Raw genomic sequence first — 24049 nt, 5'->3', positions numbered from 1 at the left:
CATCTGCAGAACAATTAAGCATTGTCAATAGCACAACTCATTTCTGAAGTGCAGACTTGGAGAGCCCTGGAAGCCAGAACTAGAGAGGGCCTTGGAATCACCACATTAAAATTACTCACTTTGCAAATGAAGGATGCACGGTTCAGAGCAGAAGGGGCAAGATCATAACTCAAATGCTTGCAGGGGCCAAGGAAATTAAGCAAGCTGGGGTCAGATAAGAGATACTTTAGATATATTACAGGAAATGTGTGACTTTCCCCTTTAAGAAAAACAACAGAGCAAACATTTGATAAATGGCAAATAGCACATGCCCTCAGTGATGGAGGCAAGAATGGGCACTGTGGCAACCTGGACTTGCTCTGCCTCAGAGGAGCAACTGCTATCCAGCTCCATGTGGTCACTGTCATGTAGAGATGTGAGCCTGAAGTTCCCAAACTTTCTGTTATTTTTAAAAATATGGATTTATATTTGAAATGCTCCAATTTTTTCTATGGTGGCCACCAATCTGAATTCATTGCAGGCCAAACAGGGCCCTACTAGAGTCTGGATTCAGCCTCAGGTTTGTAGTCTGCACCCTCTGGCTCAGGGTACTGTGGGGTGACAGGGAAGAAGCCCTCTGGGAAGACCTGGGCTTGGGTTTCAGCTCAGTCATCCACTTGGCTTGTGACCTCCAGAAGCCACTTCTCTCAGGCTTGTTTTCTCACCTGAACTGTGAGAGAGATGAAGCAGGCAATCTCAATGGTTTGATCTGACAGTCTCTGGGTTTCTGACAGCCTCTGCAGATGGAGACTCTAAATTAGCCAGGCATTGTGGGAAAATAATGGGATCTGGAGACAAAGGTCCAGCAAACTCCCATATCTCTCCATGTCCCTATCCCACTGGAACTTCAAACTCCACATTTCCAAAACTGAGCTTATCTTATCCTCTTCCCAAATGGCTCCTCTGCTAGCCTTCCTCACAGTGGATGGCACTACCCCTCACCCAGTTGCCAAACTCAAAAATCTCGCTTTCGTCCTTAACTTCTCCCTCCCCTTCTACCCTCATCCAATCAGTAAATCCTGTCAATTCCATTTCTTTCCTCTCTACTCTGTTCACTTCCTTTCATCTGCAGCACCATCCTCCTAATCCAGGCAACCATGTCTTCACTGGAATCACTGCATCAGCACCTGACTGTCTCCCTCTCTTCATTCTTAGCCCCCTCCAGTCCATTCTTCATGTTGCAGTCAAAGTTGCCTTTTAAAAATTGTGATAAAAATTTATCTTCATGTGGAGGTCTCCTTTATTTGTATAAATGTAAGGGGTGCAAGGGCAATTTTGTTACATGGCTCTATGTCATAGTGGCAGTGAAGTCTGGGCTTCTAGAGTATCCATCGTCCGAATAATGTACATTCTGCTCATTAAGTAATTTCACATCCTCCACCTTCTCCCACCCCCTTCACCCTTCCAAGTCTCCAGTGTCTATCACTCCACACTCTACGTCCATAAGTACACATTATTTAGCTCCCACTTATAAATGAGAACATGTGGTATTTGTCTTTCTGTTTCTGAATTGTTTCACTTAAGATAATGGCCCCCATCCAGTTCTATCCATTTGGCTGCAAAATAATTAAAGTGGACCCCTATCTCTCACCATATTTAAACATTAACTCAAAATGGATTAAAACCTGTAATCCCAGTGCTTTGGGAGGCTAAGGCAACAGGATCGCTTGAGGCCAGGAGTTCAAGACCAGCCTGAACAACATAGCAAGACCCCATCTCTACAAAAAAATCAAATCAAATAAAAATTAGCTGGGTATGGTGGTGCACACCTGCATCCTAGATACTTGGGAGGCTGAGACAGGAGGATTGCTTGAGCTCAGGAGTCTGAGACTGCAGTGAGCTATGATTGCCACTGCACTCCAGCCTGAGTGACAGAGTGAGACCCTGTCTCTTAAAAAAAGAATTAAAGACTTAAATGTAAGACCTGAAACTATTAAAATACTCACAGAAAACCTAGGAAAACTCTCTTTTCTGGACATTGGTCTGGGCAAAGAGCTGCCTTTACAAAACACAAGTTTCCAGCTTACTATCTTTCTGTGGTTGCCCTTGAGATGAAATCCAGACTCCTTAGTATGAACCCTTGGTTTTTTCTGGCCTTTGCTCACACTCTAGCCTTTTCTCTTGCCACTCCCCTGGAGTTGGTGAACTTCTGGAGAGAAGAAATATAGCTTATTCACCAGCGAGTTGCCAAAACCTAGCACAGTATCTGGCCCCTGAAAGCCACATGCCATTTGACAAATGAATGAATGAATAAGTGAGTGAATCTACGAATCTAAGGACTCTACCATTTACTAGGTATGTGACCCTGGAATGTGCATGCTTACTTTCTCTACCCGTAATATTTACAGGTAGATAAAGCTCATTATACCTCTTAAAGTATAATGCGTATCCTTACAGGCCGTTGTAAGGAGCAACTTAGACAAGAGGTGTTATGAGCTTTAGAACCTGTAGAAACAGAATTAAACATTAGTTGCTACATACCCTCTCTGTGCTTCAGTTTCCTGACTCAGTACCTACCTCAGTATCTGCCTCATTGTCATAAAGGAAGAATTAAATGAGTCAATATATGTACATGCTTTGAACAGTACCTGGCATATAGTAAGTAGTTACTAAACAAATAAGTGTGTGTTTATTTGTAATGATGATGACAGTGATGACTGATCCTTTCAACCCTCTGAGGTGCCAGGTGTAGTGCACATTTGCTCCTTTGGGGCTGCTTTTTTGGTAACAGCCTCCTGATTTCCTTTTGGATGAAGACTTGGATGAAGTTTTGATATGACATCAACTAGGATGTGCCCTCCTCTAGCCAGTGGGGTGAGGCCACAATTGGAACTCAGCCAAAATTCTGAGGAATTAGGAAGGAAGAAGAAAAGTTAGTTACTCATACTTCCTTGTGGTGACATCTGGATGTGACTGTGGAGATGTTCCTAACCCTGCAAACTTCTGGAGCTTCCCGACATCCACCTTTCCAAGCCTGGTTCTTCAGCCTCCATTTCCATTCATGAGCCTCCTTACAGCCTTCCAGTAAACTCCCCTTCACCTAAATCAGCCAATGATCATTTCTGTGGCCTGTTGCCAGAGATCCCTGACCATGTCTGGTCCAGATTCAGGAGACTTTTCAGCCATTAACTCACTGGGCTACCCCAGACAAGAGATTTCCTCCCCCTGTGCCTCAGTATCCTCCTCCAAAAGTTGGGGTCCTTGGCCAGGCTAGTTGTTTCCAACCCTGGCCAATCGCCAGTCAACAGAATCATCTGGAGAACTTATTTTCATTTAACATTGAGCCTCACCTCAATCCCACTGAATTAAATTTTCCAGGGGTAGGAGCTTCAGAATCCACACTTTTTTTTTCTTTTTTGAGACTGAGTCTTGCTCTGTCGCCCAGGCTGGAGTGCAGTGGTGCAATCTCGGCTCACTGCAACCTCCACCTCCTTGGCTCAAGCGATTCTCGTGCCTCAGCCTCCCGAGTAGCTGGGATTACAGGCACCTGCCACCATGCCCGGCTAATTTTTTTGTATTTTTAGTAGAGATGGGGTTTTACCATGTTAGCCAGGCTGGTCTCGAACTCCTGACCTCAAGTGATCCACCTGCTTTGGCCTCCCAAAGTGCTGGGATTACAGGCCTGAGCCACCGCACATGGCCCAGAATCCATACTTCTTAGTAGTTCACTGAGATGTTTCTGAGATACAGCTGGGATGCTCTGGGCTCCTCTCCTACCCAATCTTTCACTCTGTTCTCCTGCTGTGCCTAGAAGAGAACGTTCTGCCCAGGAAATCCTTGCCCTACTCTGAGTGGCTCATTCCTTCTTGCAACTCAAGTCTCTCTTCAAATGGTATCTCCTCCAAAAAACCTTCTCCAAACACCCAGTTGAAAATGGCGGCTCTCCATCACTCACCTTCTTTTCTTTTTCTTCATTGTGCCTTTCATTGTCTGAAATTATCCTCTTATCTGTTATTTTAACCTGGCTTATTGTCAGCGTGTCCCCACCAGAATGCGAGTTCCATGATAGCAGGGAAGCTGATTGTCTTTTTCTCTACTACATATCCAGTTTTTGAAACAGTAGCTGGCTCAGAGTAGGCCCTCAATAAAATATTTGTTAAATAATTTGCTCTGCAAGGGTTCAGAACCATGACCATGGAGGAAACAAAGCTGTGATGCTCACTCCTCCTGACCAAGTGTTTCTGATGTTTCTTCCTGGGATCAGCAGCCAGGTGACCTTGCCCTTCACCCTGAGCTGACAGACTGGTATCTGTAGCCCCCAGGGGCTTGTCCCAGCTCTGTGGCCAGCCCCTACAGGAAGATCACACCACACCGCAACCAACACACACACACACACACAAACACCAGCAAATGGTCTCAGCTAAGGTTCTCTGAGAAACCTCGCTGATGTCCTTGGCTTTTTACTCTTCAGGCTTGCAGCCAGGAAATAAACCCTGGAGATGAGCTCTTAGGAGCACCAGGATGTCGTCTCTCTTTAAATCAATCATTTCACAAAAAAAGCTCTGTTCTTTATTTTCCCATCTCCATCATAATAGCATCTGCTCGAAATCCCAAATCCTTGAGATACGGCACTTGGGCACTATTCCTATACCCCTAAAAGGATTACCTTTGCTGATTTAGGTAAGGGGATAATATCCAGCTTTTGCTGAGAGATTCCACCACAATTAGGTTCATGAATTCCCATTTGCTCATTTACTCTAACGATGAGACTAAGGTCCCTGGCTGCATAAATCCTAAAGGTCTAACATCAGGAAAACCTCCTGAAGACTTGCTCTTAGAGCTAAGTGCTAGAACTACCTCACATTTTTTATGGAAGTGAATAGGGAAAAAGGAGAAAAGGGCCAGGTGCAGTGGCTCATGCCTGTAATCCCAGCACTTTGGGAGGCCAAGGCAGGCAGATCACCAAGTCAGGAGTTCAAGACCAGCCTGGCCAGCATGGTGACACCCCATCTCCACTAAAAATACAAAAAAATTAGCTGGGTGTGGTGGCGTGCACCTGTAATCCCAGCTACTCAGGAGGCTGGGGCAGGAGAATTGTTTGAGCCCAGGAGGCAGAGGTTGCAGTAAGCTGAGATCACACCATTGCACTCCAGCCTGGGTGACAGGGCGAGACTCTGTCTCAAAAAACAAACAAACAAACAAACAAAAAACAAAATGAGAAAAGAAAGGAGGGAATGGAAAGAAAGTAGTATAAGCTTGCAAAAAAAAAAAGTGACATACTTTGCTACTTCAGATATACTAGTCTGTTTCTTCCCCTCTGAGATACTTATTTCAGCATTCAACAAAAATTTATTGAGTACCTACTATGTACCAGGCATTGTCCTGGACACTTAAGATATATCAATGAGCCTAACGGATGCAGATGCCCTGTGGACCTTGTATTCCAGTGGGAAAAAAACAGATATTTAACAGATATTAAAGGGTGAACATACAAAATAGATAAACTACCTAATCTATAGCTCGTAAATAAATTTATTAATATAGAATATATGTCATAAGAAATATATAAAATATGAGATAGATATTATAACATAGTTTATAAAGAAATTATCCAGTACATTAGAAGGTAAAATGTGTCATTATAAAAGAAAAGGAGAGATTGGGACTCCTGAAGGGAACGGGAGAAGGCAGGCTCTGACGTATTAGGTAGAGAGGTCAGGGGAGGCCTCAATGAGAAAATGACAGTGGAGCAAAAACTTGAAGGATATAAAGGCATTAGTTCTATGTAACAGATTGTTTCTTTTTGGCATCCCAAATGATCAGAACCAAATTTGAGGTTCAAGCACAGTACTCTAGAGGCCCCTGTGGTCTGTACGTTTGTAATCTTTTGTCCTCGAGAGGCAGGATAGGACAGTGGTTAAGGGTATCGGTTCCACTGTCAACCTGGATTCAAATACTGCCTCTACCACTTACCAGCTACGTGACTTAGGGCATCATATTTCATGTCTCCCAGCCTGAGAGAAATGCCTCCCTATGCTTCAAAATGAAGATAATAATAGTACTTACCTCACATGGCTCTTTTAAGGATTAAATGAAATAATGTACACAAATTCCTTTGCACACAAGAATAAACTCAATAAAAAAACAGCTGTGATTATTGAGCTTTGGTCATGTCACTCAACGTTTATTTACATTTTCTTTGGTCCTGATTCTTTATCCTCATTGATATTTTAACATTGTTTTATGGATCCTGCCCCTTTGGTAAGCTACTTCAAATCCTTTGTGGATTGGGGTAAGTTATAAGTAAGTAAATAAATACATAAATAAAAATCTGGATAGGGGGACATTTTCACTGAAGCAAAGCATTTCATTACCAAGACAGTGAATTGCAAGTGGGCCAAAAGCAAGAAAGATGGACTCTAATCTCTAACAGTCCACCAAGAACCACCAGTAAAACACTCTCTGGTTTCTCAGACCATCTTTTTCTCCCCATCTCCTCTTTCTTAAATCCCTCTTCTTCCCTCTATCATGAAAGGGTAAATGAGTTACACAAAACGGCTCAAGAAGACTCCTAAGTCGTCACAACCTCACAACTATTTCGTTGCCATGGGCCTCACAGGACTCTTCCTCATCAGAGAAGAGAAAGGAAATCAAAGCAGTCACTTTCCGTGTGTTGGCAGGGTGCTGGTTAAGTGAACAGAGTCAGACATAAGCTAGAATCTCGTTTAGTGAGCTCTGTGGCCTTGGGAAAGCCCCTGGACCTTTCTGTGCCTCCTATTCCTCCTTGGTAATAGCAGTCCCTCCTAAGGTGTTTTGGCAGATCAAACGAGAGAATGCAGGGAAGCAACGTGGATAGCTTATTTTTAAAGCCCTCAGAAAATGCTAGATTTCCTTCCTGAACTGCACCCTGGGGTAACACTCTTCAATAAGAGGGTGTATAGGGTGGAAACAGGGTGAGGAGACTAGTTTAGGTATATCCCTATCTGACAGAAACTCAATACAAGAAACAAAAGAAGAAAGATCTTTGTTGTTGCTGTTGCCTTACTACTTTCTAGAGGTATTGTCATACTTCTTCCTTCCCATAGCCCTTTAAGATGGGCATTATTATCCACATGTGACAGCTGGGGCTGGGCTTTGAACCCAGAGCACACAGCTAGGAATGTTTGCGAGGCACCGCTAGCTTTCCGAAGTTGCCTTTACAAGGGCAGCCATTAGCCTCCACCACAGGACATCAGAGGCAGCACTGACAGGAACCTGTGAGGCCCCAGTGCACCTGGAGTACCATGACTCTGTGACCCCTGAGCTGGGGACATCAAGAATCTGGGCCAGGCTGATGCCACTGAAGCTCTCTAAGCCCTACTTTCTCCCCTTCCTTCCATCAGCCCAAAGGGCTTTCATGTTAAGGCATCCCTGCTTCTGTGACCACGTGCTATGGAACTGGCTAGATCTGAATTTGAAACACACACCTCTTAAGTGACCTTAAGTAACTCACTTATTCCTTCTGCTTCCTCTACTGAAATTGGGGATGTCAAAAGGCCTACCTCCCACAGATGTCATGAAGATTCAATAGAGCAGTGCCTTGAGAAAACACAAAACACTACCTGGCACATACTAAAGTGCCCATGTATAGTAGCTGCTATTGTTCAACTGATGCAGCCTGGAGAAATCAGCCTCATGCCGAACCATGGTGATGATGCTCTCGGGGGGTAGGGAGCAGGTCCTGGCGTACAGGCTGAAATGTCTACTCACACTTCCACACAACCCAAGCAGTATGGCCTTTTTACCCAATATATAATCCTCCCCCACCCCACAGGAAACTCCTTGAGGGCAACACAGGGACCTAATTGGGTCTAGGTCTCTAGGTCTTTTCCTAGGGGAAAAAAAAAAAAAAAAGACCAATTGAGGCCCAGCCTAGGGCCTCCCAATCAGTGCCGTTGATCCACAAACATGTGCTGATGGGCCCTTCTGTGCTGGGAACTGGGGAAAGGGAAGACACCCCGCCCTACTTTCCAGGAGTTCATAGTGCACCTGGGGAAAAAGAGAAGGAACCACTATCACAGCAGACAGAAAGTAATGAGAGCTGAGTGTCCCTGGAAATGTGGGGAGAAGGAGGTGGTATTTAAGCTGGACCTTAAAAATTAGTCAAGACATGGGAGGGATGGCATTCCAGACTGAACAGGGACAACGTGAACAAAGGCCTAGAGACAGGAAAACACAGGGTTTGTTTAAAAAACAGATTAGTGAGGTGAGGCTGAAGGATTGGGATGGGAGGGGATTGAGATGGGAGCTGGCAATGAAGCCAGTGAGCCTCAGGGGCAGGGAACAGAAATAAAAGTCATAGCTGCATGGAGAAAATGAGGAGGGAGGGCCAGCAACTTTAAACAGGATAGTTACAGCAATTATCTTAGAAGCGACACATTGAGCCTGGGCAGGGTGGCTCACGCCTGTAATCCCAGCACTTTGGGAGGCCAAGACGGGCGGATCATGAGGTCAGGAGTTCGAGACCAGCCCGGCCAACATGGCGAAACCCCGTCTCAACTAAAAATACAAAAATTAGCTGGGCATGGTGGCGGGCGCCTGTAGTCCCAGCTACTCGGAAGGCTGAGACAGGAGAATCGCTTGAACCCAGGAGGCAGGGGTTGCAGTGAGCTGAGATGGAGCCACTGCACTCCAGCCTGGACGACAGAGCAAGACTCCGTCTCGGGGGCGGGGGGGTGGGGGGAGTGACACTTTGAAGAGGTAAAGGAGTAGCCGTGTGACTATCAGAGGGAAGAGTTTCCAGGCAGACAGACCAGCAGTGCAAAGGTCCTGAGGCCACAGGGCTGCCACGCCGATGATGCATTAAAAAGGCCAATGTGACTGGAGCGTGGGAGAAGGGGGAGGGTGGTAGAAAGAGAGGTTAAAGAGCTAAAAAGGAGCCAGTTCCTGAAGGGCTTTGCAGGTCATGAGGGGCCTTTAACTTTCCCTTGGATGAAATGGAGTGCTAGTGTAGGATTTCCAGTAAAGGAACGACGTGCTCTGACTTAAATTTTAAAGGATCGCCTTGACTGCTGTGTAGAGAATCAGCTGCAGGGGGCCAAGGGTGGAAGCTGGGAGACCAGTAAAGAGACTATAATGGAAATCCCGGGGGGCGGGGGTGGATGGTGGCTGGAACCAGGGTGGTAGCTACGTGGTGGCTCGCCTCTGATTCCCCGTGTAAAAAATGGAGTTTAGGATCCCTGCCCTGTGTGCAGCCCACAGCCTCAAGCCCCCATGGGGATGGAATGCCGGAAACCTCTGGCCAGCGCACTAGCAGCCTGGAGAATACGGAAGATTGTGGCAGGATTGTGGGGCACATGGGCAGCTCCCTGCTCGTCCGGGCCCCTGGTGCCCACGAGAAAACCAAAACAGGTGCGTGCCCCGCGCCGCACGTCAGGAGGGCAAGACTCAGTGGAGGGAGGGGCTGTCCACTCGCTCTAGCTCCCCAGAGGCTGAACAGGGAGAACTGGGAAAAAGGACGCCTCCTCAGCGTCCTAGAACGAGTCCTCGGCACCTGGTATTGCATGCGCCCTAGTATGGGGCCGCTCCACTTGCGCAGGTGTTGGCAACATGCGGGGAGCGCCACGGCATGCCCCCAATGAGCCGACTCCCTCCCCCAACTCTGCCCCCTTTGTCTCGCTGGCCCCTACTCCTTCTGTCTGCCTGTCTGTCCCGTCCCAGGTTCAGCGCGCACGGCCCTGCCGGGGTCCCTCTGGCAGTTGCCGTAGCCGCGCGGCCCGACCCGGGGCTCCCAAGAGGAGAAAAAATCATGAATGAAATGGATGCGCTGCTCCCACTCCTCCGCCCTCCTTGTCCAAGCAACCTTGGCATGGGGGCGACGACTGCGGAGACTCCGCGCAGAGTTGCTCGGGAGAGGGAGGCACCTGAGATGAGGTCAGGGGTTAAGGGTCTGTGATCCGGCCCCCTTCGTGCCCCGGGAGCAGGCCGCTCTCCCGGTCCCCCGCCCCGCCAGCCCTGCGCAATTCCCGGCGAGCGGCGGAAGCCCGCCCGGGGGCGGGGCGGAGCCGGGGCTGGGGGGTGCCAAACCCACCCGGCGGCTGCGCCAGCGACTCTGCAGCTGAAGCGCATTTGGTGAGGCGGTCGGGCGAGGGAGCGCGCACGGAGCGCGGGACGGAGCGCCAGGCGGACGGACCGAAGGACGGAGGCACCGAAGGACGGACGCCCCCGCACACGCAGACGCACAGAGCTCGGCGCGGCCCCCGTCGCATACACACTGGCACAGACACAAGCAGGGACACACGCAGACACACGCACACTCGCGCGCGCATCCTCCCGCCAGCCTGCCCGCCTGCTCGCCGGCGCCCGGAGCCCGCTCTGGCCGGTAAGTGCGGCGCCTCCGTCTGCGCCTTTGTGTGCGGAGCCGGAAGGTGGAGGGCGCGGGTCCCTCCTTCGGGCGGCCCCGCAACTGACACCTTCTCCAGCCCTCCCGGCCGAGGAGCCGGCGCCCGCCCCCGCCACGCCCCCGTGGGGCTCTGGGCGCCCGCATGCTGGGGGAGGGGTCCCCCATGCAGAGGAGGGGGCTTGTCGCTTGGTAGCCGGGAGGGAGCGGCAGCCACTCCCCACGAAGCCCGTGCGCGGTTCCGGGGAGGAATCGGGATAGTGGTTTGGGGTCTGAGCCTCTGCGGCCGGCGGAGGCTGGTGCGCGGCTCTGGGCTGCATCGCCTCTCCGGAGCCTGAAGCCCCTGAGGGAGATTGGAAATCGCCGCTAGCCTTCTGGCCTCTAAAGCGCGGCTCCCAGCCTTCCCATTGCTTCGCCTCCACCGACCCTTTAGCTTTAGCCTCCCGCGTCCCACCCTCCCCTAGAATACAAGCTTAGCGCGCTCCCCTCCCCCAGCATGCTGCTTGTTTCTGGTTGAGGCCCAGGCTCCTGCAAAACCGGAGATTGCCCGGGTCAGAGCCTTGGGAGGCTTACCTTATCAAGGATCACAGGGCTTAGAAGATCAGGGCCAGACGAATCCTGGGAACTTATTCAACCTTCTCATTTTACAGATGGGGAAACTGAGGCCCAGTAAGGTGGCGGACCAAGGTCACCAGAGAGTTAGTGGTAAAGCTTTCATTAGAATCTAGGGTTCCTGGTTTTCATACTCATGCTCCCCTCCTACACAACTAGATCCCACCCACATTGAAGCCCCAGAACCCCAAAATTCACCTGAGTGTACCACGAAAGTGTGTAATTCCAGCCCTGCCCCACTTGGAGGGGCAGGTGCCATTCATTTTCTACCTTCCCTACCTATGGTACCAAAAAAAGGGGAGAGGGGGCTTTAATTTGCTTCCTTCAACCTCAAAGGAGAGCTCTCATAACACTCAAACACTCCGGGTTTGGGATTCGTTTGGGAGAATGAAGAAGCCCAGGACCTGAGATCAGATTCCCAGGCGTTAGTCCTGATCCACCCAGGACACACTGAGCCTGAGTGTCCTCAGTTGGACCAGGTGATGTGGCATCCCAGGATTCGTCCTCTTCTCCACTGTGTCCTGACTGCATGCCCTCCCAGTCACCCTTCCCTCCCGCTTGAGGGCCAGATCTTCTACTCCAACCAGGCCCCTGTAGTCATCCCTTTGCGGAGGTCCCCACCTCTTTCTCCTTGGGGCTCGTTAAGGGCAGCCTCTTGGTGCTGCTGACAAAGCTGCTGGGGAAGCTTGAGTTACAATCACACCAGGTTCGGGTGGTTTCTCAGCACGCGGCTCCCTCAAGGGCAGCCAGGTGTCCCCAGAGCTGAGCCTGATGCCTGGTGCAGAGAGGGTGCCCCGAGAGATGTGTTGAAGGAGTACAAGCATAGACGGATGGTGAAGGGATGGAGTCAGTCACCTTGGAGGAGACTGGATGGAATAGTTGGCAAGGAGGGCAGTGTTCAGTCTCCAGGGACCTGAGGTTCTGGTCTCAAGAACTTCCTTTTTTTATTTTATTTCCATAGATTTTTGGGGAACAGGTGGTATTTGGTTTCGTGAGTAAGTTCTTTAACGGTGATTTGTGAGAATTTGGTGCACCCATCACCCAGAGTATACACTGAACCCAATGTGTAGTCTTTCATCCCTCATCCACCTCCCACCTTTCCCCCAAGTCCCCAAAGTCCATTGTGTCATTCTTATGCCTTTGCATCCTCATAGCTTAGCTCTCACTTATGAGTGAGAACATACAATGTTTGGTTTTCCATTCCTGAGTTACTTCACTTAGAATCATAGTCTCCAGTTCCATCGAGAACTTCCTTTTTGAGGGGGGTGAGCAGCTCATCATGGAGCTGAGCCAGGGTGGCCAAGTGGCAGAACTTCAGGGGCTGCCACTGACAGTGTAGTCCATGTAGATGGCATTGGCTATGAAGTTTACACAGACTTCATAATGAATGGTGGCCCCTGGGTTTTTGCCATGTAGGGATTTCTGCCTTGAGAGTGAAGGGATCTGGATTCCAGTCCCAGTCTCTTCCTCACTGGCTGTACGGTGTCAGTATATAACCCTTTTGGGTCTCAATTTCTCCATCCAAAAAAATAACATCATTGGATTGATGATGTTATGAACTATTTGGCGGTGGGGTGGGAGCACGTATTTATGTAACTGCTATGGGCTTCTTTTGCTTTATGAAGGAATAATTTCTGACTCAAGAATGATGTATGTAGAGTACTTAGTACAGTCCCTAACACATAGAAAATGCTCAGGAATTGGTAGCTAGTAATTCCACTAGGACTCCAGCTTTGTGGATATACCCTATACTTCTTCCTTTCTTCAGATCATCCAAGGACATGGGATTCTTAAGGCCTCAAAGTCCTCCTCCCTCAAAAAATTCCTTTCCCCCTGACCTATTCCTGGACTTCAGGCTCAGCCAGCATAAAACATCTGTGAAAACTCCCTGGGAGGATCAACACTTTTGTTTATTCAACCTTTTGTACGTTAGCGTAATAGAATTTCATAATTAATTTGTATGTAGTGTCAAAAGCTCTTCCTATACTCTGTCACTTACTCCTCATAAGACATCCGTGACAATAGTGTTATCATCCTCATTTTGCAGATAGGGAAATTAAGGCTTGGATTTTCACTTATCTAAGGGTGCATACCTCAAAAGTCTCAGATCCAGAGAGCTAGGCCTCCAGCTCAGATGATCTGACTCCAGATTCTGAACTCTTTGTTCTGTGTCGTATTGCCTGTCCTTTCCCTAGACTTGCCCTAAAAGAGAGGCGGATAACCCCTTAAAAACAGTTGAAAGAGGACTTTTATTCTCCTCACAGGTCAGTAACGGCTTCTTGGAGAAGCCAAGTAGCATTTAAACTGGGTGAATGATTTGTACGTTAGAAGAAAGGAAGAAAACTATTTCGAGGAGTGGAAATAGCATGAGCAGAGGATGGACAGGCATGGGGACTTCTAGGATATATACAGAAACTGGAAAGCAGTTCATTCCAACTGGAGCAAAAAGAATAAAAGAAGGGACTTGAGAAGGAAGGTTGGGTAAGGGGATGGAGGTTATTGGGGGGACATTGACTGCCAAGCTAAGGAGTTGGGAGTCTTTAGTTTTTGAGTGGGGGAGAAACATAATCAAACCGTAACATGATGAAACTCACTCTGGCTACCCCTTGGAGAACAGATTGGATGTGGAGAGCCTGCTGGCCAGAAGCCCAGGTAGGAAATGATGACAATGGTTTAGGTGAGAGATAAAGAGAGTATGGACTGGGGGTGGTTGTAAGAATGGTTAGAAAAAGGAGTTGATGCAAGAGGCCACAGTGTCACTAAAATTGGTAACTGATTGGATGTAGGCACTAACAGGAGGGAAGAATAAGTGATGGCAAGGCTTTGAGGCTGAATGGCCAAGGATGTCATTCACAGACACAGCCCAATAGGAGGAGGAGTGGGAGGCTTAGGAGTAGGGACTATGAATCTACCAGGGACCATAATGAGCCCTCCTGAAAAGCTGGTTCATCAAGCACCCTAAACTATCAAGAACCAGTTCATTCATTCATTTATTCTCTGAATACATATAAACATCTGTTACATGCCAGGTTGTTCTAGCCCCTAGGGATACGTTGCTAAAAAGACGAACTTCCTGCCCAAGCTCTACCAGGGGAGACAGAAGATAAAATTGTTCAGGTGGTGAGCAGTGCTTTGGAGAAAAATTAAGTAGGAAGAGGGATGACTGGGAGGAAGAATGGAGAAAGAGATCTGCCTTTAAATAGAATTGTCTTTGAGGAGGTGATATTTGAACAAAGACCTGAGTGAAGAGGAGACCTGGGGAACAGCATTCTAAAAAGAGGAGACCACAGGTGCAGAGGCCCTGGGGTAACAATAGCTTGGTGTCTTCAAGGAACCTGAAGTGTACCTGTAAGAGACAGACAAAGGGGGAAAGTGATAAGGAAAAAGGTGAGAGAGTGGGCAGAGCCAATCATGTAAGGGCCTATAGACCTGAAGAATGAGAAGCTGCATGATGTTAATGAATCTAAGAGAACACATATCCTATTCACCTTATATTCTTTGTGCCTAGCAAACCAAGCCTGGCCCTTCACAGTAAATCATTGTTGAATGAGTGAATGAATGAATGAATGAATGAATGTTGGAAATGACCATTTATGTGTGAGACTGCATATCTTAGACTTATATGAACCAATAAATAAAGATATTATACCATAGTAAGGGTATAGTAATCTGTACTATGATCAAAATAATAAAGCTCAGATAACTTGAATGCTGTGTTGTCACTCAAGTATGAAAATTTAAGTGAAGTCTGCATATTTTATTCAGTATGGCTTTATATTATAAACACTGCTGTTGACTAAGACGAAATAGTAAAACGTACCTGAAATGACTGTAAAACAATGAAAATAACATTTTTGGTCTTTCTTCATCCTCCTCCCCGCACAAATATACATCCTTCTGGCTTCATTTCAAATTTTCTCTTGCACTCTCAACCATTTCCTTCATAGAGGTTTTAAGGAAACTCATCTCTAACACAAAGACCCATATTTGCAGGACAAGATGCTATCATCTCCAGTAAACTGACAGATTCCCAAAAAGAGAAGGCAGTGGGGAGGGAGAAATTATTTATAGACATATAAATGCTTCGGGCACCTAATCAGTTGTTGAAATGGATCTACAGGTGGAGATGGGAAAACTGGCTGGACCATGTGAGGGGCTAGGTGACATGCAGGCTCAGTCTTAGAATCACAGGATCTCTGGACCCCCAGTCCAGATTCCATCTGCAGCCACAGGTCTGTCACCTGTCATATGTAGAAGGTAGAAACTCAGGTCATCTCAAGGGGAAAAAAGAAAAACAAAAACTAGAAACTCTTTTCTCTTTTAAGCAGTGTTATCACCAAAAGGCTCTTCCTTATCTTAGGGGATTGTGGAAAATAAGATTCCCCCTATTCTAGGCCGGGTGCGGTGGCTCACGCCTGTAATCCCAGCACTTTGAGAGGCCGAGGTGGGCGGATCATGAGGTCAGGAGATCGAGACTATCCTGGCTAACATGGTGAAATCCCGTGTCTACTAAAAATACAAAAAATTAGCCAGGCGCCGTGGCAGGCGCCTGTAGTCCCAGCTACTCAGGAGGCTGAGGCAGGAGAATGGCATGAACCCAGGAGGCGGAGCTTGCAGTGAGCCGAGATAGAGCCACTGCAGTACAGCCTGGGCGAAAGAGCGAGACTCCGTCTCAAAGAAAAAAAAAAAAAAATAGATTCCCCCCATTCTTTAACATCATCTCCATCTTTTCTGCATCTGGTGAGATGTGGAACGAGCATCATGGCCACCGGTGTCTGGCAAAACTCAGTAATTTCCAAACTCTTAGACTGAGAAAAGCTTTTCCCACTGTGCTGCAGCACATGGAACAGAAGCCACCCTCCTTCCTTTGTCCCCATTGAAGCAAGCGTGACTCAAGTTTCTATACCTGGGGTGTAGCATGTTGGATGGGGAGGGGATCCCCTCACACCAGATGCGGGAGATCCACTGTTTGCAGATTTGTAAGGGAACAAGCATCATGGGAATTCCTAACTTTGGGCTAATGTAAGGGATAAACTGTTCACAGCCAAATTTCCTGGTTAGTCCAGTAGCAAAATAAAGACCCTAAATTGCCCTCCTTTTTTGTGGTGAGGTAGTTGGTTGGAGTCATTAGAGAGACACACCAAGTCCTGAAGTGTCTTTCTGAAGAGTCGACATGAAACAGCCCCTCGCCTCCCATTCCTCTGCAAGCCTTTCGGGAGGGATTTGTGGGCCTCAATGGTGGCAGCATATGGGCATCTGGAATCAATTCTGAAGATTCTTGCAAAACTAACAATGTGTGTATTTCATCATCTGCCTAAAGATGTTGTCTGGTATAAATTATAAATTACAGTTGTGAAAATAACCATACTCCATGCTAGAGAACAAACGTAAGATGAACCATCATTTTATATGCCCTATTCTATGTTTTCTGTAAATCTGTATTTTGTAATAGTTGAAATTAGTCCACATATAGGTTTATAGCCTGCATTTTTCACTTAACATTTTGTCATGACTTCTCTGTTTATACTTGGTTGGCTGACCCCTGCTTTATTTAACTATGTCTTTATTGTTGCACATAGTCAATAATGAGCATCTCCAGGCACATAGCTTTTCCATCTCAGAGTCTCAAAGCATCCATCTGAAGCACCCTCAAGAGATATGATGGGATCAAGGTGGTTAAAGAGGGGTGCAAGGAAAAGAACATGTCGTGGCCCTGGCGTCTGGAGTAGAAAAAGAACAGGGAGCTTGGTGCAGTGGCTCATGCCTGTAATCCCAGCACTTTGGGAGGCTGAGGCAGGGGATCATTTGGGGTCAGGAGTTTGAGACCAGCCTGGCCAACACGGTGAAACTCTGTCCCTAGTAAAAATATAAAAATTAGCCAGGCATGGTGGCGCACACCTGCAGCCCCTCCTACTCAGGAGGCTGAGGCATGAGAATTGCTTGAACCCAGGAGGCAGAGGTTGCAGTGAGCCAAGATAGCGCCGCTGCACTCCAGCCTGGGTGACAGAGTGAGACCCTGTCTCAAAAAGAAAAAAAGAAAAAGAACAGGGAACCCAAGAGTTGGAACCAAGGAGAGGATGGAGAGGAAGATAGATCATGGGCCAGGGGGTCAAGGTCACAGAGCCCTAGGGGTGGCAGAGGGACATGCAGCTCTGTCAGATTTCAGAGGGAAGTCTGTCCTTCCAGTGTTTTGTTTGTTTGGTGTGGGAGGCTTTTATTAAATTGTGGTAAAATACACATAACACGAAATTTACCATTTTAACCAATGTTAACTGTATAATTTTGTGGCGTTAAGTATATTTACAGTGTTATACAACCATCACCACTGTCCATCTCCAGAATCTTTTTATCTTCCCAGACTGAATCGCTGTACTCATTAAATACTAATTCCTCATTCCCATCTCCCCCAGCCTCTGGTGACCTCCGTTCTACTTTCTGTCTCCATAAATTCACCTATTCTAGGTGCCTCGTGTAAGTGGCATCATGTTTGTCTTTTTTTGTCTGGCTTCTTTCACTTAGCCTAATGTTTTCAAGGGTCGTCTCTGTGGTATCATATATCAGAATCTCATTTATTTTCAAAGCTGAATATATTCCATTGTATGGATATACCACATTGTTTGGCCATTCATCTGTTTCCACCTTTTGGCTATTGTGAATAATACGGCTATGAACATTGGTGTGCCAGGATCTGTTTGAGCCCCCGCTTTCAATTCTTTGGGGTATATACCTCGCAGTGGAATTGCTGGATCGTATGATCATTCTGTGTTTCACTTTTTGAGAGGTGCAGGGTGCATTTTTTAAAAAGGATTTTTGTGTGCCCAGTATGAAGACCACTGAGTGAAGTCTTAGGAATAGAGAGTCCAGGAAGAAGCTGTTAATTTAAAAACTAAATGTTGTTTGGGTTCTGCATGGCCATGGAGGTAACAGAGAAGAGAGAAGAGGGAACAGAATACAAATGAGTCTGACTCCGTTTCTGAAGAATTGTTGTGATTTAGAGGCATTGTGGGTGGAAAAAGAAAGCTCTCAGGAGAGATCTTAGTGGGTGGAATTGATTCAAGCATGCAAGTATTTACTGTACCAGGCACTGTGGTGGACACAAGGCCCTCAGCAATCAACACGACCACAAGGACCCTGCCCGCAAGGAGCTTAATGTCTAGTGGAGGTGCCAGAGGAGTCACCTGGCAACAGTGGTCTGTACTGATGCATTCTAGGCTCATCATAAGCACTCACTCTTACTGAGTGCTTACTACATTATCTCAATCTTGGTGACAGTTCAGTGAAGACGGTTTCTGTTATCCTCAATTTGCAGGTGAGGAAACAGAGAGCTTGAGTAACTCTATTTCAGGTACGCACAGCAAGAGTCAGAGCCAGAATTTAAACCTAGGCAGTAACTGTGCTCTGTAGGGCTGTGGGAACACAGGAGAGACACCTGCCCAGGACGGAGGTCAGAGAAGGCTTTCCGAAGGCAGGGGTCAGGTGAGTATTTTCACGCAAGTCAGCTGTGTTCTTCTTTAGCCCATGATGTAAAACAGTGCTTTCCTATAGTAGCAGCAGTAGCGTTCAGCCCTGCTTCCAGGGACTCTAGACACTCAGGGAGACCCCTTCACTGAGACTCCACTTCAGAGGAAGATGATCACTTCTATCATCCTTGCTGCTTATCATGAGGCAGGGAGGCTGGGGGTGAGGCATTGCCATTTCCCACTGCCATCTGCTGCCTCTGCTACTTCCCTAGCTGGTCAGCATCTGAGGTACCTCAGAGGGACCTCCTGGGGCCCCTTCGGGGCAGCATCAGGCCAGTGGGCTAAGAGTTAGGCAAATACGAGGCCTAGGAGTGGCAGTGAAAATCATATATCCACCTTCTGTGCCACATCACTGTCCCAAGATACTCCCACCACCACAGAGCCCTGTCTTACCAAAGTACAGATGTGGCCAAGTCTCTGGTGTTTCCATCCTTCTGTGGCTCCCCATAGCTTGCAGCCGTATTTCTCAACAGGGACCTACTGGCCTTTGGGTGGGAGAGTTCTTTGATGTAAAAGCATCCCTGGCCCCATCTCCTATATATTTGCCTGGAGCACCCTTCAGTCATTATAACAACCAAAAATGCTCACACATGTTCTTCAGGTTTACTTTACAAGCAGTCCAATGTATAGATCTTAAGTGTTCTGTTCAGTGCATTTTGACAACTGCATGAGCTCATATAACCATCACCAAGAGCAAGACTCAGAAGATTTCCATCACCCGCAAAAGTTCAGAGATAACGATTATTCCAATTTCTATCATTGTAGATGGATTTTGTCTGTTCCTAATCGTCATATAAGTGGAATCATATAGTACATGCTCTTTTGTGTCATGAAATAGTTTTTAAGAAGCCAGACGCAGTGGCTCATACCTGTAACCCCAGCACTTTGGAAGGCCAAGACGGGTGGATCATCTGAGGTCAGGAGTTCGAGACCAGCCTAGCCAACATGGTGAAATCCCATCTCTACTAAAAATACAAAAATTAGCTGGGCATGGTGGTACACACCTGTAGTCCCAGCTACTCGGGAGGCTGAGGCAGGAGAATCCCTGGAACCTGGGAGGTGGAGGTTGCAGTGAGCCAAGATCATGCCACTGCACTCAAGCCTGGGTGACAGAACGAGACTCCATCTCCAAAAAAAAAAAAAGACATAGTTTTTGAGATCCATCCACGTTGTCACGTTTTCCCCACTAACCCCCAATACACACACAGATTTCTAAATGCCAACTAGCATGGCAATACCTGCCTCTGTCCCCCTGAGAAAAAATGGCCTGTGAGTCAAAGTTAGTGTGTCTTAGGCTGATTCATGAAGCCGTCTGCTGTGTGACAAGAGTCCCTCTTACGTCTACTCTGTGGCTACACTGAGCTGCCTCGTCTGCCTGGCATACCTTGTGCTTTCACCTCTCCGGGCCTTTGCCCTGCAGTGTTCCCTGCCTGGAATGTCCTCCCTGTATCTGGTGAACTCCTGCTTGTCCTTCGGGTCTCTTCTGTGCAGCTTCCCAGACTCTGTTTTTGTGCCCTCCTGAGTGCTCCCATAAGACAGCCTCAGTGGGCCTTTAATGCATTTCTCACTCAACTCACTAGGCCGAATGCTGGGTGGAGGGCAGGGACTGGCTCTTAGTTATCTGTGTGTCCCCCAAGGCTCAGTACAGAGCCTGATATTAAAGAAATTGATATAAGATTATAGTAAGATTATCTTAGAGACAAACTGGGTTTAAAATACAAAATATATTCTGAACCACCCCCTGGAGCTAATAAAGTTGGAGCTGGGCATGGTGGCTCATGGCTGTAATCCCAGCACCAGGCCGAGGCGGGTGGATCACTTGAGGTCAGGAGTTTGACACCACCCTAGCCAATATGGTGAAACCCCATCTCTACTAAAAATACAGAAACTAGCCAGGTGTGGTGGCAGGCTCCTGTAGTCCCAGCTACTTGGGAGGCTGAGGCAGGAGAATTGATTAAACCCGGGAGGCGGAGGCTGCAGTGAGCCTAGATCGCGCCGCTGCGCTCCAGCCTGGGTGACAGAGGAAGACTCCATCTCAAAAAAAAAAAAAAGTGGTCAAAAAAAGACAGTCTGATCTCTGGCTACAGATGATAAATGTAAACTGACTTCCTGCCAGTGAGGCAGAGACCTCCATCCCTTCCCCAGAGGACCTAGCATCATGGGAAGTGGCATGGATGAGTGCAAAGTAGCGCAGCTCAGGGAGTCAAGGGGGCCGGGGCGGGGCCGGGGGGGTGCGGCAAAGATCAGAGTCAATCTCAGAAGGCTGCCTGGAGGAGGTGAGTTCCAAAGGTTTTCAAAGAGGTCTCTGTGTCAAGCCTAGGAGTTGCATAATCAGAGTGTGAGAGCCCTAAAGCATGATTCAAGGCCACCTGGATCGTGGGCCTGATCTGTCCTCTCATGACCCTGGTACTGAGTGTCATGCAGCAGCCCTTCCCTCTTCCTTCACTCCTTTCCACTCATGTCTTTCTTCTTTTTCTCCCACTTGGTCTTTCCTTCCCATCTTCCTTCCAAATCTGAGTGTAAAGGAAAGAGCTGGACCTGCCTTCCATGTTTTTTTCTCCTCTGCACTGGGCTTTCTGTCGTGGGGGATAAAGAGGGGGTTTTATCCCTTGCCCCTTGTCAGCCTGGGAAGTTTACAGAAGCCAAAGTTATGGACAAGAGAGCCAGGGAGCAGCCCGGGACAGGGTGTGGCTCATTACCAGTTTCCAAGTCACAAAAAGTGCTGGGGGAAGGATTGAGCCAGAGGAGAGGTCAACACACCCTAGACTCACTAGGGAGGTTTCCTGGAGGAGACCTGGGCTGAGGTGGGCCTTGGAAGGGCTGGAAACCACAGCACAAAGAGGAGGAGCAGGAAGGCCTTTCCTGGCCAGGCCTGAGTGCAGAAGGGTTAAATTAGGCGGGGGGCAGGGGCCCTGATGAGAAGCTGGAGCCCACAGCAGGGTGTGGCAGGAGCTAGGGGCCGCTCTAGGAGCTGAGAGACTAAGGCAGAAAAGCAGGAGGGAGCATGGCTGGGGCAGGCGGATGTCATGGCAGAGGAGGATTTGGGAAATCCTGTGAAGTGGAGTTTCCAGTTCTTTTACCCGCCCTTTCCTAGGGCTCTGGGTCTGACTTGGGGACCTGGAAACAGCCTGGAGCTCTCCAGAGGGCAGAGGAGGTTCTGCTGGGAAGACCCCTCTCATCCTCCAGCTGCTGTCACCTGCATTGTTCTCATTAGCTCCAGGAACACCTGACAGAGCCTGAGGAAATAGGAAGCAGACCTTTGTAGCTGATGGCACTGCCTGGTACAAAGAGCAGGAGTGTCTCCTGTGTGAGGTTGACTTGGAGGGAGACAGGAAGTGAAGCTTCGAGCCAGGTCAGCAGGAATATGGAGAAGGAGGCCTGCCCAGGACTGCCAAGCTCTCCCTATGTACAGCCCTCGCTTCCCAGGCTTCATCACAACCCTGCAGCTCTCATCGGTGCCATGTTAAGTGGGAGGAAATTGAGACTCAGAGAGGTTAGGACACCGACCCAAGGCCCCTTGTGGAGAAAGTGGCAGAGCACAGCATGTTAGCCAGGTCTCTCTGCCTCTGAATTCATCCTTTTCCCGGAGGACCAGGGTTGCCTTACAATATGTGATCTCAGAATGGTCAGTCTGTCGTGCTTTGAGGAATTCAGCCCGTGACTGAGGACCTCTGTTGACAGCCTGCCCTGGGCCCAGGTTTCCAGCTGTCCACTGGCACAGGGAAAGGAGAGAATCAGCCATCCTTGGCCCAGGACCAGGGAGACCACGTACCTGCTCTCATGTCAGTCCCTAACCTCTCTTAAGTGCCTATAGCTCCTGCAGAGTGAGATAATGATGTTTTCATGGGGTTGTCTCAAAGAGCTAATGAAATAAGGTACTGAGAAGCATGTGGCATATGGTAGGTCTGCAGCTGCTATTTATTAAATTTGAATTCAAGAGGTCAGGCTCCTTTCAACCTTGACTCTTGGTCCCACCTGGGATTTTTTCCTAGTTTACACTCTATTTTTTTTTTTTTCCTTGCAAAAGAGCCTCAAATCCAGCTAATGTTTCCAAACCCAGCCTCGCTGTGTCTTCCCCTCCAGGCCCTGCTTCTGACTCAGTTAGACTCTTCCACCAAACCTGAAGATGCCAAGATCTTCCCAGGTTGCCATGACGTGAGCCAGGCCTGAGCACAGAAGGGTTAAATCAGGCTGAGGGTAGGGGCCCTGATGAGAAGCTGGAGCTCACAGCAGGGTGTGGCAGGAGCTAGGGGCCCCTCTAGTTGCAGGTGGGAGCAAACTGAGCTCTGAACTTCAGCTTTCCCCTCTGTAAGTACATCCCAGCCCCATGAGAAGGAGCCTTGTAAGCAATGAGGAGCGGAGCAGATGCCAGAAGGGATCATCATGGACCATCCGGAGCAAGGGACAGCAGCATGGGCAGCCCAGGCCCAGGGCAGCATGAGGGAAGTCTAGGGATGAAACCAGAGGCATGAAATAATGTGTGATCAGGGTGGGTGTGTAACCAACACAGGCTAGGCCAGAATTCTAGTTCCGGGGTGTATCAGACTGTTCTTGCATTGCTATAAAGAAATGCAGCAATTTCATTATAGCAGTGCAAGAGACTGAGTAATTTATAAAGAAAAGAGGTTTAATTGGCACATGGCCAGCCTGTACAGGAAGCAGGGCACTGGTGTCTGCTTGGCTTCTAGGAAGGCCTCAGGAAGCTGACAATCAGATAGAAGGCAAAGAGGGTACAGGCACATCACACAGCGAAAGCAGGAACAAGAGAGTGAGTTGAGGGAGGTGCCACATGCTTTCAAAAGACCAGATCTTGTGAGAACTCTCGTCAGGATGGCACAAACCATGCAGGATCTGCCTCCGTGACCCACCAGGCCCCACCTCCAACACTGGGGATTACAATTCAACATGAGATTTGGGTGGGGACAAATATCCAAACTGTGTCACAGAGGGAGAAGGGAGAGCTGCAAGAGTGGACAAGGCCTAATCCTAGAAGGCAGAGACTCTGCCCATCAGAGCAGAAGGCCAGTTGCTGGGGTTGGGTCAGTGTCCAAGCCAGATAAGCAACAGTGAGACTGAGTTGAAACTCTTAACAGTAATATTGGCTAACACAGAGCATACAGCGTGCCATGTGCTCGTCTAAGAGCTTCAGGTTTACTCCTCACAACAGTATTTTGAGTTAGGTCCTACTGCTGCTCTATTTTAAAGATGAAGAAACTGAGGCACAGATTGAGCAAAACTCTGGACCTCTGCTGAGACTGGCAGCATGACTCTTCACAATCATAGCTTGAAATTAGCCATGGTGGGAGCATTTACACCATGAAAATTGGCAGAGGGCACAAATCAGGGCCCTTCCTTCCTTCCTTCCTTCCTTCCTTCCTTCCTTTCTTTCTTTCTTTCTTCCTTCCTTCCTTCCTTTCTTCCTTTCTTTTTCTGACAGGGTCTCGCCCTGTAAGCTGGGCTGAAATGCAGTGGTGCGATCATAGCTCACTGCAACCTTGAAGTCTTGGGCTCAAGCGATCCTCCTGCCTCAGCGTGCTGAGTAGCTGGGACTACAGGTGTG

At 48.2% G+C, this 24049-nt stretch overlaps 1 protein-coding gene across 11 annotated transcripts in view, besides 1 other annotated feature; it reads left to right on the top strand.

Annotated features, from left to right (window-relative positions):
* Positions 2219–3418: an enhancer, noted in NCBI's record as "CDK7 strongly-dependent group 2 enhancer chr11:18819993-18821192 (GRCh37/hg19 assembly coordinates)". NCBI's record gives its function as "activates an origin of replication core promoter dependent on BRD2, BRD4, P300/CBP, MED14 and CDK7 cofactors, with strong dependence on CDK7, by STARR-seq in HCT116 cells {active_cell/tissue: HCT116}" and the evidence as "EXISTENCE:reporter gene assay evidence [ECO:0000049][PMID:35650434]".
* Positions 9143–24049, top strand: part of PTPN5 (protein tyrosine phosphatase non-receptor type 5) — a 64794-nt gene continuing 49887 nt past the window's right edge. For 6 of the 11 annotated variants that reach the window (XM_017018439.2, XM_017018436.2, NM_001278236.1 and 3 more), the window contains exon 1: positions 9143–10339. The gene's annotated coding sequence lies outside the window, so the exon portion shown is untranslated. The remainder of the gene's footprint in view (positions 10340–24049) is intronic. The other 5 variants (NM_001278239.2, NM_001278238.2, NM_032781.4 and 2 more) reach the window with 1 other exon arrangement.

The sequence above is a fragment of the Homo sapiens genome, chromosome 11 (assembly GCF_000001405.40).
Source record: "Homo sapiens chromosome 11, GRCh38.p14 Primary Assembly".
NCBI classification, from domain to species: domain Eukaryota; kingdom Metazoa; phylum Chordata; class Mammalia; order Primates; family Hominidae; genus Homo; species Homo sapiens.
This window is presented reverse-complemented; position numbering and strand designations above follow the sequence as displayed.